The sequence below is a fragment of the Homo sapiens genome, chromosome 18, assembly GCF_000001405.40.
Source record: "Homo sapiens chromosome 18, GRCh38.p14 Primary Assembly".
Lineage (NCBI taxonomy): Eukaryota > Metazoa > Chordata > Mammalia > Primates > Hominidae > Homo > Homo sapiens.
Window position 1 is genome coordinate 11820058 of NC_000018.10, and position 18945 is coordinate 11839002.

Below are 18945 nucleotides of genomic sequence, written 5' to 3' on the forward strand. Positions count from 1 at the left end.
TAGGGTTGATATAATTGTGAGAAAGGGCTATTTTAGTAAGGTTTGCTTATGCAGACTCATCTTGGTGACAGCTCTCTGTCTCTGCGATAAAGGTCACTCTTATCCTAGTACAGGGTGGGGGATATTTATGCTCTTTTTTAGGCAGAAAGGGGGAGAGCAGACAGCTCTTCTTATATCTGTTGTTTCTCAGTTGCCTTCAGCTCAAAATAATCAATATGCCAGTGTCACATAATTGGGGGTGGCGTATTTTGATCCCTATCAGAATCCTAGCCTAGCTCTGAACAAATGTTTAATTATACCTTAAGAAGCTTCACTGGCTGGCTAAATATTTAATGACTTCGCAGAATCCTTTTCTATGTGTTTATGTATTTTTTAGTTGAGATAATGGTATTACGGCTATTTTTTAAAAGTCTTTATGTTTTAGAAATAATGTTGAAATAACATGATATGCTGCCTTATAAATAAAATATTTGTTTCAAAATAATAAAAGCAGTGTAAAAGTGGATGAGATATGGATGAAAAGAAATTGGCCATGTGTTGATAAATGTGGAACCTGAGTAATGGGTACCTGGAGATTCATTCTCTCTATTTTTATAAGTTTGAAACTTTTCCATGTAAAACATTGAAGTAACAATCACAACAGCAGCCCTGGAATTCACCATGAAGTTTTTAGAACCCTTTAAAAAGTAAATATGTGGAATCATGGGGACTTAGCTGTATGCTAGTCCAACATGTTTACCCATGAGGAAGTTGAAGTGAAGAGAGATTGTTGTCGCTTTTGTGTTTCTTCAGTGTTATCTAAATCACCTACTTAAAAATCACAGTGCCTACAATCCCTGTTTTACTCTTGCTATCAACACATGCTCCAGAAATTCTGTATCTTCATTCTTGGTTCAAGCACTTCTCTGTAATTCTCTCAGGCTTCAGCTCAAACCTAGAGTTTCGTCTCCTATAAAGCAGTTCCAGTCCTCACCAGTGAATCTTACCCAACAACAGGACATTAAGCCTTATCCCATGAACTGAATTTACACTTGGCATCTTTGCAATGTATTTGTGAATCGTGGAAGGACCACAGAAGTTACTGAGCTTTACAGACCTGTGGGAATCCTCATGAGTGTCTTGTGTTGCTTTAACAAGGTACCCTTGTATGAGATCCCCTGTACTTTATCCAGCGAAGAGTGGTTTTTCTAAAATAGTGGTTTTAAAGAAACCCAGTAGAAAACTAAAGAATAGAAGATGATTTAATATATACATAATAAAAGGTGGTAGTATGCATAGTGGTTAAAAACACAGGCAGTGGAATAAGATATTCTGCTATTACCTGCTGTGTGCCCTTGGGTGGATTACTTAACTGATCTGAGCACAATGACAACAGCGACCTCTTCCAGTTTTGTGAGAGTTAAATGCGATCATGTGTTAAAGTACTGTGCACAGTACCCTCGACAAAATAAGAACTACGTAAGAACTATTTTAAATAGGGATTATCATGTGAGTAAGGCCCTTACTGTGACATGCAGGAAATTAACGCAAAATGAGAAAGGGTATTGCGAAGGAAGTGAGAAAACAGCAGAAGCCGAAGCCTGAAGGAATGAGCTGAGGCCTGGGGGCGCTGAGGATCCCAGCCCCGCTGGGCAGGGCCTCCAAGCTGGGGAGCTGCGGGGGTGCACTGTTTGCAGAGGCAGGTGGGGCGGTGATACTGATATTTCTGCAGGAGGGAGCCGGGAGGTCCTTGAGCAGGGGCCCCAGTAAATGCTTCAGAGCTAGAATGTCCTCCCTTTCCAGCTCACCAAGGGCTGAAGCACAAGGGCCTCCCGCCTCCCTGCAGCGCACATCCGCCCTCTGGCGAGGCCAGGCCGGCATCCAGTGTGGCCCGGTGGCCAGAACGCGCCCAGGCCATGGCCGCCGCTCCGTAGGCCTCCGTTTCACGGGTGCTAAGTAAGTCGAAAAGCAAGGGCATCTGATAGGAGCCTCAGTTTCTCCTCCGCCTGCCAGGAGGTCTTGTGCGTGCAGAGCGGCGGATGCGTGTGGCACCGCAGGCGCGGGGCGAGGGCGGCTCCGGAGAGGCCCAGGGGCTTAGCGCGCCTGGCTTTCCACAGCCCGGCTTCGGGCCTACTCAAGATGGGGTTTCTCGGGCGGGGCGTGGTGGGCGCGCCTGTGGAATCACTTGAGCCTGGAGTTCGAGACCAGCCTGGGCAACATTATGAGACCTCCCTTCCCATCCCCCCCACCGCCAAATCTCAAAACAAACAAACGAACAAACAAATTAGCTGGATATTGTGGTACACACCTGTCGTCCCCGCTGCTCGGGAGCCTGAGGGCAGAGGATCGCTTGAGCCTAAGAGTTGGAGACCAGCTTGGGCAACATGGTAAAACCCCGTCTCTAGGAAAATACAAAAATTAGCCAGGCGTGGTGGCACGCGGCTGTAGTCCCAGCTACTTGGGAGGCTGAGGCAGGAGGATTGCTTGAGCTCGGGAGGTCAAGGCTGCAATGAACCCAGATTGCACCACTGCACTCCAGCCTGTGAGAAGGGGCAGAGTGAGACCACGTCTCAAAAAATTAAAGTTAAAAATTAAAAAGATCAATTTCTCAACCCTCTCACTGACCTCTAGCCACATGCCTGTTAGCTCTGGGGTCAGCACCGTGTGGGCTCACTTCCATGGCTGGTTGGGTAGTAGGGTGACCACACGACCGTACCCCACACGGTTTGGAGCCCTTTCTGCCCTGCAGGGCCTGGAGCAATATTGTTTTTCTTTTTTTTTTTCTTTTTTTTTTTTTTTTTTTGACCAAATTTAGATTAATTACTCCAGTCTTGGTCGTTTTTAATTCCATTTGGAAACCTATTATAGTGAATAACTCTTATGTGAACTTTTATAAAATCTGGTGTCTGTGGTTCCTGTGTTTGGATAAATCCAGTTAAATTTGTTTCAATGTAGCATGAGTCTATAGTTTTTATATATCATACGTCTGTCGTGTCCAGAGAAATCAGGTGCCCAGAGCTGGCAACTGGAAGACCCATCACCATGAGGCAGCGATGTCACTCTCTTCATGGCCAACTTGATAACGGCATAATGCAGGATTGATCTTTACACGTGTGTGTGTGTGACGTGTGCGTGTGTATGGACTTGGATGGCTCTTCGAAGGAAATCTTTTTAAGGAAACCTACAAACTCCTTTACTGGGTTAATGGGAGCATCAGAGGAAGATTCCAGAAGGAAACATAAACCTAGGGAGACAAGATGAAAACTGAGAGCTTTAGCCACCCCCTTCAGGGGGAGAATGTCTCTTTTTTTGTCAACTGGGAACCATTTGGGTTTGCTGATAATGGTGACAGACAGATGCAGATATAGACTATGCCATAACTTACAAGATTGTCTCTGATACTGTGAAATCAGAATTGGATTTTCTAAACGCTAATAAAGCCTACACTCTGGGTACCTCACTTCTACTCCCCTTCCAAGGATTTATACCTAATTTTGTATTCATCATTTAGCCTCTGTTTTTTCAAAGAGAGCCTTCCAAATTGTGAGCATTAAACCCCTCACAGTGCTTGGATCCACCTTTGTATGGAATTGTGAGTCCTTAAGAAAAAGTGCCAGTCCTTCTTTTTTTCTCCAAAGAATCTGTGTTGATTCCTAGAAATGTGGCAGCTGATAAGCATGAAGGAGGAGTCGCTGGGACAGGCCATGGAGCCTGAGAACCCTGAAGATCAAAGGCAGGCAAATAACTGCTGTGGGAAGGGCGTGAATTTCCCACAAAGTGTTTTGTGAACATTTACGTAACTTCTTTTGTGTTTTGCTACTAATGTAGTCATTTGCTTCCATAGCCGTTTTGGGTAATATTACCAATATGAACTCATAAGCCGTTCATTTACTTTTGAGATGAAAAATGTTCTTCTTTCAGAGCATCTTGCTTGCCATAATAATAGGTGAAGTTGAGCACAGTGACCTCATGGCTCTGGAATGAACGAAAAATCACAATTCACACTTAACTCCTAGTTTTTTTTAAACGAAAAAAGAAATAAATTATCATCCTCAAAGTGTAATTTTTAAAGTTCCTTTTTTATGTACCTAATATGTCTGGGCCAAATTTAATCCATCTACTCAACCATGTCCATTCCTAATCATAACTCACATAGAAAACGTAAAAGACAGAAGCTAAGACAAAACTTGTCCTTATAATATGCATGTTTTTTTCATGGCTGAGATGGGGGGGGGGTTCAATGAGTTAAGTTACTGAATTCTAAATACTTTAGAATTATGCTGTTAATTGTATTTATAGCTAACATATGGTATTAACTTTGATGTAATTTGCATTTTGGGGGACTTTCCAGAATGATAAAACGATTTTGGGCCAGGCACGGTGGCTCACGCTTGTAATCCAAACACTTTGGGAGGCCGAGGTGGGAGGATCACTTGAGGTCAGGAGTTCGAGACCAGCCTGGTCAACATGGTGAAACCCCGTCTCTACTAAAGATACAAAAATTAGCCAGGCACAGTGGCATGTGCCTGTAATCCCAGTTTCTCGGGAGGCTGAGGCAGGAGAATCGCTTGAACCTGGGAGGCGGAGGTTGCGGTGAACCAAGATGGCACCACTGCACTCCAGCCTGGGTGACAGAGCGAGACTGTGTCTCAAAAAAAAAACAAAAAACTTTTGCAATTTGACTTGAGTAATGATAACATGCATGCATACATTTTTTATCACACTAAACATAGAGTCGGTGCATTTTACTATGCAGACTTCCACAAAGAAAATCTGAATGCTACTTGCAAAAAACAGTTTTTGCAGTTTCTTTTTCCTTTTAACTTTTTAAAAGGTTATTACACTTTTTTTTTTTTAATTTGTAACTCTTTCAAACTTTAGGAATTCTTTGACCATGTGAAAAAACTTTGGGACGATGAAGGCGTGAAGGCATGCTTTGAGAGATCCAACGAATACCAGCTGATTGACTGTGCACAATAGTAAGTTGTGTCCTGTACAAGTTACAGGGCCCTTTGAAGAATATGATTGCATGCATGATTATGCTGCCTTCTCAGTACTGAAGTTTCTTGAGTGCAAGGAATGAATAATTAACCTTTTATGACAGAAATCAACTTTTAAAATGAGACATGTTTAGTAGATGGAAAATTGAAAATCCAGTAAGAATCAATGTTTCTGAGAACCAGAAAGTTTCGTTCATTTTGTCCTGATTGTTTTCAGTTCTCTTCATTTTTTGACTTTTACATAGAGCTATATGCATATTGGTAAGTTAAAGTGAACTTCCATGGTTATTGTTATGTTTTGATTTTGGAGCAGGGGCCTCAAATTATATTTTAAAATAATACGAACCTTGTGATCAAGGTCAGGCTCTTAAAGTAATGTGATCATTCTGTACACATTAGAAGTATACCAGAAGGCTGGGCCCGATGGCTCACACCTGTAATTCCAGCACTTTGGGAGGCCAAGGCAGGCGGATCACCTGAGGTCAGGAGTTCGAGACCAGCCTGGCCAACATGGTGAAACCCCGTCTCTACTAAAAATACAAAAATTAGCTAGGCGTGGTGGTGGGTGCCTGTAATCCCAGCTACTCGGGAGGCTGAGGCAGGAGAATCACTTGAACCTGGGAGGCGGAGGTTGCAGTGAGCTGAGATTGCGCCCTTGCACTCTGGCCTGGGCGACAGATGAGACTCTGTCTCAAAAAAAAAAAAAAAAAAAAGGAAAAGGACACTTGGTGCCAGGGCTGGCTCATTGTTTTTCCCTGAAACACTTACTTTTCCATTTTGTTTTGCTATGTTAGATATATTCTATTGCTATTAGAAAATAATGGTCCTTAGAACAATGTTAAATTATTAAGAAGTTCTAGATATGTTTGCTGTTTTGATAATTAAAAATTGTAGTTGACTAGTTGTTTTATGTAAAGCTGTGGATAGCAAGAAATGAAAAATTTTACATTTTAAATCTCTAAACTCTAAAAATTCATATACATAGAAGAGATTCCATAGCATAAAATCTGGGAATTCATAGTATTTGGAACCAATCAGTGGAGCTGCATTGTGAATGTTGATTTCCAGGAGGGAGTGGTTGTGTTGGCCCAAGCTCCTGCTTACTAGGTTCTACTTCCACTCACCATCCCCCATGGGATGGGCCTGAAGCACCCAGCGAAGCCCAGAGAGCCAGGCTCCAAGGGGCCCATGGCAAGGGCCAGAGGAGGAGGAGGAGCGGGGAGGGGGAAGGAAGAGGAGGAGGAGGAGCGGGGAGGGGGAAGGAAGAGGAGGAGGAGGAGCGGGGAGCGGGAAGGAAGAGGAGGAGGAGGAGCGGGGAGGGGGAAGGAAGAGGAGGAGGAGGAGGAGGAGGAGACACTAAGCATGGCTGGGGAAAGAAAGAGTGCTCATAAAGAAGTGAGGGAGGTCAGTGGGGCCAGACACCCCCAGGGCTGAAGACCACAGCAAGGAACTTGGGTTTTCTTTCAGCTACAGCAACCAGCCATCCCAGCCATAGGCTCCAAGCATGTGGTTGTCAGGGAAAGTAGATTGCAGAAGGCAGAGACCCTGTGGGGTGCCTTGGGTTGGGCTGGGGTAGCCATGCAGGTGAGTGCTGGAAACTGAAGGGCAGAACTAGCTGGTGGACTTAATGAGGAAAGGGATCCAGGAGGGTACAGGGTGAACCACGGTGCCATTTACTGCAAAGGGGACATCTAGGAGACTTAGGGAAGAGATCCAGCTCTGATTTGGAGAAGTTGAGTTTGAGATGCCAAATGGAGAGCCATGTGGAGGCATCGAGCAGTCAGTCTGTTGTCAGAGCCTGGAGCTCGGAAGAGAGGCAGATGGCCCCAGTGTACCGGTCATCAGCTACTGATGGTATGCAGAGCCTGGGAATCCAGAGCACACGAGGAGTGCCCGCAGAGAGGCAAGGGCTCTGGGCCTGAGAAAGTTCAGCTTCAGACAAGGAAGAGCCTCACAGCACATCTGGGAGAGAGGGAGTGCCCAGCAGAGGGCACAGGTCGTCCGGGCCAGATGCTGGAGAGACCCGGAAGGAGGAGGGCTGATGGTCCTAGTAAGATTGTACTTAACCTCCTTCTTACCTTGTCCAAGGACAGGATGTCCCATGCTCAGTCCGCAGGCATGTGGTGAGCGCGCTTGGCAAGGCAAAGTATAGTAAAGCATCGAGAATGGAGCGCACACCTGCTGCAAACACCCTCAGAGGACCGTAGAAAGGGTTAGCCACCTCCATTATACACTAAAGAAAGTATTTACTCATGAAAATTTTTAATTAATGAAAAAAGTATTTAAAATGTCCTGGCCGGGCATGATGGCTCATGCCTGTAATCCCAGCACTTTGGTAGGCCGAGGAGGGTGGATCACCTGAGGTCAGGAGTTCAAGACCAGCCTGGCCAACATGGTGAAAACCTCATCTCTACTAAAAATACAAAAATTAGCCAGGCATGGTGCTGGACACCTGTAATCCCAGCTACTCGGAGGTTGAGGCAGGAGAATCGCTCGAACTTGGGAGGCGGAGGTGGCAGTGAGCCGAGATTGTACACCTGCACTCCAGCCTGAGTGACAGAGCAAGGCTCGTCTCAAAAAAATGAAAATTAAAAAATTAAAAATGTCCTGTTTCCTGCCATGCACGACAAGTCCTTCAAGATTTTCTTTAAATAGCTGGGTGTGGTGGCTCACACCTGTAATCCCAGCACTTTGGGAGGCCGAGATGGGCAGATCACGAGGTCAGGAGATCGAGACCATCCTGGCTAACACAGTGAAACCCCGTCTCTACTAAAAATACAAAAAATTAGCCGGGCGTGGTGGCCGGCACCTGTAGTCCCAGCTACTCTGGAGGCTGAGGCAGGGGAATGGCGTGAACCCGGGAGGCGGAGCTTGCAGTGAGCCGAGATCGCGCCACTGCACTCCAGCCTGGGCGACAGAGCGAGACTCCGTCTCAAGGAAAAAAAAAAAAAAAAAAGATTTTCCTTAAATAATGTTTGTAAATTGGCCCTGCCCTTGAGTTTACATTTGTGAATACAGTTCTGTGGTTGCTCTCATGTTATTTGGTTGCTTTCGGTTTGGATGTGGGAGTTTGGAAAGGCTCTCAGGGGAACTCCAATGCAGTCTGAGCAGCCTTGGGAGGCTTGCAGGTGCTGAAAAGGCCTTTTATCTTTTCCTCTTACTCTCACTCACTCTTTCTGCAATACTTCAATCGTTAAGCAGTCATTTAAGGCACAATAGAAGCTGGGCATGGTGGCACATGCCTGTGGTCCCAGCTACTCAGGAGGCTGAGGTGGGAGGATCCCTTGAGCCCAGGAGTTGGAGGCTGCCGTGAGCTATCATTGTGCCACACACTCCAGCCTGGGCGACAGAGTGAGACCCTGTCTCAAAAATAAAAAGACACAATAGAATTATGTTAAACTCACGTGCTTTAGAGGTGGGAAGAATATACCAGGAAAATGCTAGCAACTGGAATTTCTAAAGCAGTTCTTAATAATATTAAAATTCATACACCTCTGCATTTGAAGCTGTTGTGGAATATGCGTTCTATCATCCTTTTTCAGTATTTCAGTATTTATTGGACAAAGACTGGCCTTGGAGAACACCACAGTTCTGCTCAATGCCACATTAGAAATTTTTCTGTTGTAAAAAAAAAAAATGGACAAGTTATTCCTGCATCACCGTAGTAATAGAATTAATAATTTGATTTAAAATAGAATATGTGAAAATAAATCATGGAAAAAGAAATGGTGTGAGCTTGGCAATAGGCAGATCGGAATTCAGATTCTGGCCCCACCCCCGACCACTGTGTGAGACTTTGGGCAAATTACTTTTATGGGAAAATTAACAGGATCTATTCTCATATGGTTGTGGGATTAAATAAGTAGATATCCAAAGTCCTCAAAATAGTGCCTGGCACTTAGTAAGCACTAGGTAAGTGTTATCTCTTGCTAGAATGTGACTGATACAGAAACTGACACCTAGAGAGGTGCCTACGATCACAGTTACCCAGGAACAGATGAGACCACAGCCAAAATCTGCTATTTCTTTTAGATTTATTCCTTCAAATTACAGAAAGCCACAGATAAAAACTGCCTTGTGAGCGAGGCCCCAGGGCCTCAGGCCAAGACTCCCTTCTAGGCTTGTCAGGAATAAAACACCTTTAGCCAAAGCCTCTGTTTCAGCTTTCTGAACCCTGGGCCTGACAGAATTACAGAAACTGGTTCCCCCTTGAGGCCTCACTATCCTAGGCTAATTGTAACTTCTCCCGTTTAGCTCGTTTCACCCATTTTAATACATACAGGAATCATGTGGAGCAATAACCTTTGCATCCTAATAACTATCTTGTTTTTCCTATAGGGTCAGATTCTGGAATTGAGGGATGAGGGATTTCAAAAACAACTAACATTTCAATAAATCTGTTAGACCAACATAGAGCTGCCAAATTCTTTTACTTTGCCAAATAAGATGTTAGAAAAAATAAAAGCTGCTCCCATCTCCCACCACCGTCACTTCATAAAAGAAAGGACATTTCAAAATCAGGCCAGTAACAGGACATGTCTCAGACCACAGTCTGAGTGCAGTCCTCAGACCACGAGACTCGTGTGTCTTGTTCAGCCTACTAGGTTTTGAATTCCCCAGGGAATGTGTCTCATTCATATTTAAATGCCCAGCTCCTAGGTGGGTGTTCTTGTATAAAGTCAGCGCTCAGTCAACGGGCGCAGTAGCTCACGCCTGTAATCCCAGCACTTTGGGAGGCCGAGGCGGGTAGATCACTTGAGGTCAGGAGTTCGAGACCAACCTGACAAACATGGTGAAACCCCGTCTCTACTAAAAATACAAAAATTTGCTGGGCATGGTGGCACACACCTGTAATTCCAGCTACTCAGGAAGCTGAGGCAGGAGAATTGCTTGAACCTGGGAGGCAGAGGTTTCAGTGAGCTGAAATCCGTGTACTCCAGCCTGGGCAAGAGAGCAAGACTCCATCTCAAAAAATAAATAAGTAAATAAAGTCAGTGCTCAGTCGGTGCTATCTGAAATATGTGAACTGACCAAAAAAGAGCCAGTATTTGATGTGGTATTAACGGAAACAGCCAACCCTCATCTCCTTGACGGGTCCGTACTCACTCGCCTTTCCCCATGCTGATTCCCACTATTCCTGCGTGTTTTCCATTTTCTTTACATCTAAATTGCTCTTGGAAAAGCTCTGACTTAAATCTTGGTGTGACAGTAAGTCACTGTGTCACCTTGCTCAACAGAATTGCATCTTTTTTTTTTTTTTTTTTTTTGAGGCGGAGTTTCGCTCTTGTTGCCCAGGCTGGAGTGCAATGGCACGATCTTGGCTCACCACAACCTCCACCTCCCGGGTTCAAGCGATTCTCCTGCCTCAGCCTCAGAATTGCATCTTGAACCCTAGTGCTTATGAAGAAGGTAATAATTCTAAGACCTCTTAAAGTCATTTATTCCATGGCAGGAGTCATGGGAGTCTTTTGGGCTTCTCAGTGATGCTGAAATTGTTAGGGCCTCAGGAGGCCAGGCTGCCAATTAAGAGAATCCAGTAGTTCCTCAAAAGGTTCAACATCGAATTACCCAGCAATTCCACTCCTAGGTGTAAACCCAAGAGAATTAAAAACATACCTCCATACAAAAACTGGTAGATGGATGTTCATAGCAATATTTGTCATCATAACTAAAAGGTGAAAACAACCGAAATGTTCATCAAATGAAGAATGTATAGACAAAACGTGATACATCCACACAATGGAATATTACTCGGCAATGAAAAGGAATAAAGTGCTGACACATACTACAACATGGATGAACCTTGAAAACATCACACTAAGTGAAAGAAATAAGACACAAAAAAGACACATATTATATGATTACATGTATATGAAATGACCAGAATAGGTAAATCTACAGAGACAGAAGTCAAGTAGTGGTTTCTAGGGAATGGGGAGAGGGGGAACTTAAGAGTGACTGCTAATGGATGATGGAGGGTTTCTCTTTGGGATAATGAGCAAGTTCTGGAATTGGATAGTGGTGATAGTTGCACAATTTTGTGAATATACTGAAACCATGGAATTGCATACATCAAAATGGTGAGTTTTGTCTTATTTGAAATTATAAGTTATGTAAATTATATCTTGATTTAAAAAAAAAATGACAGGAGAGGGAAGAATCCAGGGCAGGAAAGGCAATGGGAGCTCTGTGGTCAGGCCTGGCCATGGGCACGGTCTAGGGGAGGACTCATGTGAAGACAGAGATGCTGCCTTGTCCTTCAGGCCTCCTTGGTGAGTCAGCGGTCCTCTTCTGAAGTACAGGTTAAGGTCAGAATATGTGTTTATAAGGCCTGCTTCTTCATACTTGACCCACCGAAAGTACATGCCCCCACACACTCTCTCCAAGCCTGCAAATATGTGTGCGGATAGGGACCTCCAAAACTGTAAAGCACCCATGAAAAAAGTCTAAGGCTGTGAAGATCTGTGTTGTGCTGCTTGGCATGCAAGGAATGGAAACTTACCAAGTGACTTCAAGAAAAGGGGGGTTTTCTCCTGAGGATCTGGAAGCTGGTATTGAGCCAAAGGCCCTATGGGGAAAAGTATTCTGTTCTTGCCTTCAGGCGTTTCAACTTTGCCATCCCTGTTTACTCCACTCGTACCTTGTCCACTCCGTAATCTGCAGCCCAATTCCAGAGGGAGCAGGGGAGATGGGCTTTGCTAAGGCCAGGCCAATTCTTACCTAGCCTTGTCCCGTCAAACAGGCCCACTGGCCAGTTGCTGGGGCTCACTTGACCCAGTCGGTGGCCATTTGTGTGTCCCTGAGCAGGTGCTGTGGTGAGGCAGGGCCAGCCAGGTGGCACTGAGCAGCTGCAGGACTGATGTGATTGCAGGACTGTGAGAATAATTATTATCACTGAGCCTTAAATACTGTGTTTTCTGTAAAAGTGAGTGTCCTTGAAGCATTGAGCAAGCTGTGCAAATTACCAGAGATTATATTTTATATTGAATTTCCCAGTTCCTACTGTGAAAATTTAAAAACAACCTCTACTGAATTATCCCCCAAAATGCATTTCCTCTAAGTCCTAATACTAAGTGATTATGTAACCATGGAAACGGTTATTTTGGGAGAAAGAAAATCAGAGAGAATTGGATCTTTAGCATAGCTTTATAAAATCGGACTTTGCTTAATGGAACTTTAAACTCCACAGCTCACAGAGTGTAGGTTCTTATGCTCAGTACGACACATGATAAGCTCCTTTAGGGTACATCCATTTCAATAATTGGTTTTTGAATTCTCTAAGGAGAGACACTATCCCAGAAAAAAAGAAAAGAGCAGCGAAAAAAGTCAAGTGATTTTTCTGCTGCAGTCCCAGATCTGTTTTCTGTCATCTTTCAGGAGTTTTCTTGACCCCATTGGCCCTCTTTGGCACTGATTTGATCCTATGGCTGTCAAGTCCTGGAATACTCAGCTTTCAGGACAATCTGGAAATTATTAGCACAAATGAAATTTCAACTTCAAAGTTAATTTTTTGAAGGTCATTTTAAAATGAAAGGAATTGACCTGGCGCGGTGGCTCACACCCGTAATCCCAGCACTTTGGGAGGCCGAGGTGGGCTAATCACCTGAGGTCAGGAGTTTGAGACCAGCCTGGCCAACGTGGTGAAACCCCATCTCTACTAAAATTGCAGAAATTAGCCGGGCATGGTGGTGCACGCGCCTTTAATCCCAGCTACTCGGGAGGCTGAGGCAGGAGAATTGCTTGAACCCGGGAGGCAGAGGTTTCAGTGAGCCGAGACCACGCCATTGCACTCCAGTCTGGGTGACAAGAGTGAAACTCCATCTCAAAATAAATAAATAAATAAATAAAAATTTTAAAAAATGAGATGAAAGGAACTATAATTTTAAATTATGCATATTACTGTATATACTGTTGAACTTATTAAATATATAGCAGCCACCTAGATGCATGTACATATTCTTCTTACCTCTCATTTTGATCTCTATCTCTAGCCAAATTTATTTTCAGATTTTTTTTTTTTCGAGTCATTCTGTCACCCAGGCTGGAGTGCAGTGGCGCGATCTCCACTCACTGCAACCTCAGCCTCCCAGGTTCAAGAGATTCTCCCACCTCAGCCTCCCTAGTAGCTGGAATTACAGGGGCCCGCCACCACTCCTGGCTAATTTTTGTATTTTTAGTAGAGATGAGGTTTCACAATATTGGCCAGGCTGGTCTCGAACTCCTGACCCAAGTGTTCTCCCCACCTTGGCTCCCAAAGTGCTGGGATTACAGGCATGAACCACTGTGCCCCGCCTCTCAGATTTGTTTTCTAGAGCTGCAAAATTGGAAATGTTCCTGTTTATGAGCACTACAATAACATTTACTTTAGCTATGAAAAATAAATGTAGCAGCAGGGACTAGGTAGGTAGACCAGATGTCTCTGTGTGTGGCCATCAGCCCCTGTTACATGTTTCTTTTATTCTCCTCTAGAAACCCTTGCCCTGAGACATCCAGAAGAAAATTTTTAGTGGGATTACCACAAATGTTTTTGTGTGTAAAACCTGTTTTTAAAATATCTCAGAAAATCTACTTACTTGGGTGGAGAACTGCAGTGGCTTCCCATTCCTTATCTAACGTAACCCTCAGACTTCCTATACAGAAAGGATGCCTGGAACAGGATGGCCTTCAGGGCCTGGCCTCTCTGCCCAGCACATACATCACAGGAATCTCCAATCATGGCGTGAAAATCAGGACCTTCAAACTATAAAACAAAAATCACATTTTTGATGCCTTAGAGCTGGATTTTTCAGTATTTCTTAGAAATGGAACGCTTCGTCACACGGAACTGTATGGAATGCCACTAGCAAAGAGGGAGAAGACAAGTCCCCTGGTGAGGAGCCGGAGCCCTTGTATTCGCTTCTGCCTGCTGCTGTGTGGCCCCTCTGTTGCCTCCAAATGTGAGGCTCCCCGGGGTGCGGTTTAAAAACTAGTGCCCGTTTTCAAAATTCATACCAGCAGAACCAAATGCAATTTATAGCCAATGCCAAAGCAAAGTGGTATTTTATTAAAATAAATATATGAAACCAAAGTGAAAATTTAATAAAGTAAAATTTAGTTTACATATTCACATTTGTAACATTTACTTATTATAAACAAACCTAAAGATCTCTATGGCTATATTGATAAGAACAAAATTGGAATTCAGTGGTCTTAGATGACGGTTGAGTTTTTCGCTGGACTCAACATCCAGCTTATTCCTGCTAGGGAGGGGCGTGTGGGAACATCCTGACATATGCAGATGAGTTGTTGCAAATGGTAGCAAAAATGGGGTCTTTTGTTAAGGTTGCCTTGTAATTACAAGAAACATTTTAAGTTAAATGATGTAGAAATGTGAAAAGGAGAATCATAAGAAATTTTCTTCTGGCTGGGCACAGTGGCTCACGCCTGTAATTCCAGCACTTTGGGAGGCCAAGGTGGGAGGATTGCTTGAGCCCAGGAGTTCAAGACCAGCCTGGGTCTCTAGTGTCTACAAAAAAAAAAATACCCCCAAAAATTAGCTAAGTGGGGTGGTGTGTACCTGTAGTCCCAGCTACTTGGGTGGCTGAGACAGGAGGATTGCTGGAGCCTTGGAGTTTGAGGCTACAGTGAGCCAAGACTGTGCCACTGCATTCCAGCCAGGACAACAGAGTGAGACTCTGTCTCAAAAAACAAAGAAAGAAATTTTGTTCCAAGTTGAATTCTTAACAGTCTCTAACAGCTCTTCACATTCTTTAACACAAATGTGACATCTGATAAACGTTATATTTATAGCGTTGGGTTATGGGTTACGTTGTCCCCTGTGAGAACATGGCAGTTGCTCTGTGAGGAGAGCTTGGGCCCTGCAGGTGAGCCCCAGCTCAAGTGGCCTTGGGCAAAGCAGGGTGTGCATCCTCTGTGCCTCTTAGGGACTCGCTTCTACCGTAAGACTATTCAACAGGTGCTGCATTGTCTACAAAAATGACCAGAACCTCCTTCCAAACAACACATTTGAAAGAAGTTGAAAATATGTGCATAATATTTTTATGGGAATTTGAGCTACACAGATAGATGCATTTTTCAAAACTCAGCAGATATACACTTAAGATTTCTGTTTCATTGGACATGCATTTTACATTGAAAGAAAAAGCCATGAAGAAATATTGATTCTTAGATAACATTCTGTGAGCTGCAGTATTTCAGAGGGAGTGTACTGCTGTCTTCCCTTTTTTTGAAATACATCAAAAATAAGATGGGTTGAGGAATGGATACATGGATAGATCTGTGATTTTTTTTTTAAGTACAATAAAATGAAGCTGGGCACAGTGGTGTTTGCCTGTAATTTCAGCTACTCAGGAGACTGAGGCAGGAGGTTCACTCGAGCCTAGGAGTTCAAGGCCAGCCTAGGCAATGTAGCAAGAACCTGTCTCTAAAAAGAAAAAAAAAAGCCTAAAAGTACAGTAAAACGAAAATGTCAGAATCTAAATAGTAGGTATTCAAGTGTTCACTACAAAATTATTTCTAATTTATTTTATGTTTGAAATTTTTATAATAAAATGTAGGGGGAATAAAGAAAAATATGTATATGTAAAGCTGTGATCAGAAGCTTACAGAAAAATAAATTACATAGTAGCACAGGTTAATAAATTGACAGTACCCTACAAATTACAGTGTGAAATGTAAGACGTGTGTGTCAGGTTTTATCACAATACTTTTGTTTGCTGAATTCTTTGAAACACTTCCAAGGAATCCAGGGAACTCAGGGAAAACAACTAAGTACTGTACTACTATTAATAAAGGTACAGTTTCAGAATTATTTAAGACGTGCGTCCCACCAGGCGAGGTGGCTCACATCTGTAATCCCAGCACTTTGGGAGGCCAAGGCAGGAGTACTGCTTGAGTCCAAAAGTTTGAGACCAGCCTGGGTAACATGTTGAGACCTCGTCTCTACAAATAATTTTTAAAAATTAGCTGGGCATAGTGCCACACACCTGTAGTCCCAGCTACTCCAGAGGCTGAGTTGGGAGGATTACTTTAGCCCAGGAGTCAAGGCTGCAGTGAGTAATGATCATGCCACTGCACTCCAGCTTAAGTGACAGGGTGAGGCCCTGTCGCAAAAAATAATACTAATAGGCCGGCTGTAGTGGCTTATGCCTGTAAAATCCCAGCACTTTGGGAGGCCGAGGTGGGCGGATCCCCTGAGGTTGGGAGGTCGCGACCAGCCTGACCAACATAGAGAAACCCTGTCTCTATTAAAAATACAAAATTAGCTGGGCATGGTGGCGCATGTCTGTAATCCCAGCTACTCAGGAGGCTGAGACAGGAGAATCACTTGGACCTGGGAGGCGGAGGTTGTGGTGAGCCGAGATCACACCATTGCACTCCAGCCTGGGCAACAAGAGCAAAACTCTTATCTCAAAAAATAATAATAATAAATAATAATAATAAAGAGGTGTGTGCTCTGTATTGCTTAGTACCCAAGTGTAGCTGTAAGATAGCTCATATTTATTGAAACTTGCCCTGTGGAGGCACATTTTATGCACATTAGATGAACTAACATAGTAATCCTCACACTAACCCAATGAGTTCATTATCTTTATTTTGCAGATGAGGATATAAAGGCACATAAGATTACATAAGACTACACAATACCAACTATTACTTGATTGATCCAGGATTTCAAATTTTAAACCTAAAGATTATGAGAGACTACTTTAGATTAAAAGTTCACCAAGCATTCTGTGAGCATCAGATGCATGCTAGACACTGCCAGCCACTGAATGACAAAGATGAATGAGGCATGGACCTATGCATTTGAAGGAGATTGCCTCAGGGACATCCTTTTTCTCAGATTCTGAAGGAACTGTCATCAACTTCACATCTCCATCCACTTCATATCTTGAACCTAGTTTTCCAATGAAAGCCAGGATAGCTTTTTCTTGAGATGGAGTCTCGCTCTGTCACCCAGGCTGGAGTGCAGTGGCACAGTTTTGGCTCACTGAAACCTCCACCTCCTGGGTTCAAGCTATTCTCCTGCCTCAGCCTGCTGAGTAACTGGGATTACAGGCACATGCCACCACGCCCAGTTAATTTTTGTATTTTTAGACATGCCACCACGCCCAGTTAATTTTTGTATTTTTAGTAGTGCTGGCGTTTCACCATGTTGGGCAGGCTGGTCTCGAACTCCTGGCCCACCTCGGCCTCCCAAAGTGCTGGGATTACAGGCGTGAACCACCACACTCAGCCCAGGATAGCTTTTGATGTACATATAGAGGTCCTTATGATTCAAGAAAGTGAAAAAACAAGCTCATAGAAGGGGGAAAATGTTTATAAATCATGCATCTGATAAAGGACTTGTATCTAGAATCATAAAGAACTCTTACAAATCAATAATAACATAAGTAAACCGATTTTTAAATCAGCAAAGGATCTAAATAGACATCTCCCAAGTAAGATAGATGAATGGCTAATCAGCCACGAAAAGATGCTAAACATCTTTAGCTGTTAGGAAAATGCAAAGCAAAACCACAGTGACATTCCACTTCATAACCCTAGGGTGGCTGTGCCTAAAAAGTCAGATAAAACAAGTGTTGCTGAGGATGTGAAGAAATTGGGATCCTCATATACTGCTGGTGGGAATGTAAAATAGTCCAGCCACTTTGGAAAACAAACTGGTAGTTCTAAAAAACGTTAAACACAGTTGCCATATGGCCCACCAATTCCACTCCCAAGTGTATGTCCAAGAGAATTGAAAATATACATCCATGCAAAAACTTCTAGGCAAATACTCATAGCAGCATTATTCATAATAATCAAAATGTGTAAACAGGCTGGGCATGGTGGCTCACACCTGTAATCCCAGCACTTTGGAGGCCAAGGTGAGTGGATCACTTGAGCTCAGGAGTTTGAGACCAGCCTTGGCAACATGGTGAAATCCCTTCTTACGAAAAATTATCCAGGCATGGTGATGCGCACTGGTAGTCCCAGCTACTTGGGGGGCCGAGGCGGGAGGATTGCTTGAGCCCAGGAGGTCGAGGCTTCAGTGAGCCAAGATTGCATCACTGCACTCCAGCCTAGGTGACAAAATGAGACCCAGTCTCAAAAAAAAGCGTTAACGACCCAAATGCCCATCAGCCGATGAGTGGATAAACAAAATGTGACGCATCCACACGATAGAATGTTATTCAGTTACAAAAAGAAATGAAGTCCTGATGCATGCTACAACATGGATGATCCTTGAAAACATTATGCTAAGTCAAAGCCACCAGACACAAAAGACCACATATGGTATCATTTCATTTATATGAAATGTCCAGAATAGGTGTATCTACAGAGACAGAGTAGACGAATGTTGCATGGAGCCAGGTGGACTTGGGGGATGAGGAATCGCTTTAATGTGTACAGAGTTTCCTCTTGGAGTGATGAAAATGTTCTAAAAGTGATTGATGGTTGCACAACTTTGAATATACAACAAAAAAGTCATTGAATTGTGCATCTTAATCAAGACTCCCTGTTGCAACTGGCTTGTGAGAGCTTTACTTGGACACTTCAGTAAAATTAATTTGGAGACTCCTGATCATTCGAGTCTGCCTAATTTCAGGGCCTTCTGATTTAATACCAAGTGGGTAAGATGCATTATGTTTCATCCATGTGCCACGCATGGTGACAGTGTGGGGATGCTTCTGAGAGGATGCGGTATGAGATCCATAGCATTTCAGATTGTTCATGTACTTACTTTGTCTTTTTAAAAATCAGTTTAAGAGAGAAAGGCGGAAGAAATGAAATAGAAAAGCAAAAAATACTGATTCAAAATACAGTACCCATACTGAAAATATGTCTTAAAAATCTCTTCTAAAAGACTATCTTTGTGGAAATTGGCAGGTAATTTCTAAGTTGTTTCCATAGGATTTGGAGTTGTTCTTCTCCATGCAGTGCGTGACACAGTAACATATAAATATGAGATGTTATAGCA

The 18945-nt window shown here is 43.5% G+C and overlaps 1 protein-coding gene across 5 annotated transcripts in view; it reads left to right on the forward strand.

Moving 5' to 3' along the window:
* GNAL (G protein subunit alpha L) overlaps nt 1-18945 on the forward strand; it is a 196422-nt gene that overhangs the window by 130794 nt on the left and 46683 nt on the right. For 4 of the 5 annotated variants that reach the window (NM_182978.4, NM_001261443.2, NM_001142339.3 and 1 more), the window contains one exon: nt 4861-4958. In NM_182978.4, coding sequence (NP_892023.1) covers nt 4861-4958 — 98 coding nt within the window. Of the gene's footprint in view, nt 1-4860; nt 4959-13448; nt 14086-18945 lie in introns of those variants that run through there. The other variant, XM_006722324.4, reaches the window with a different exon arrangement.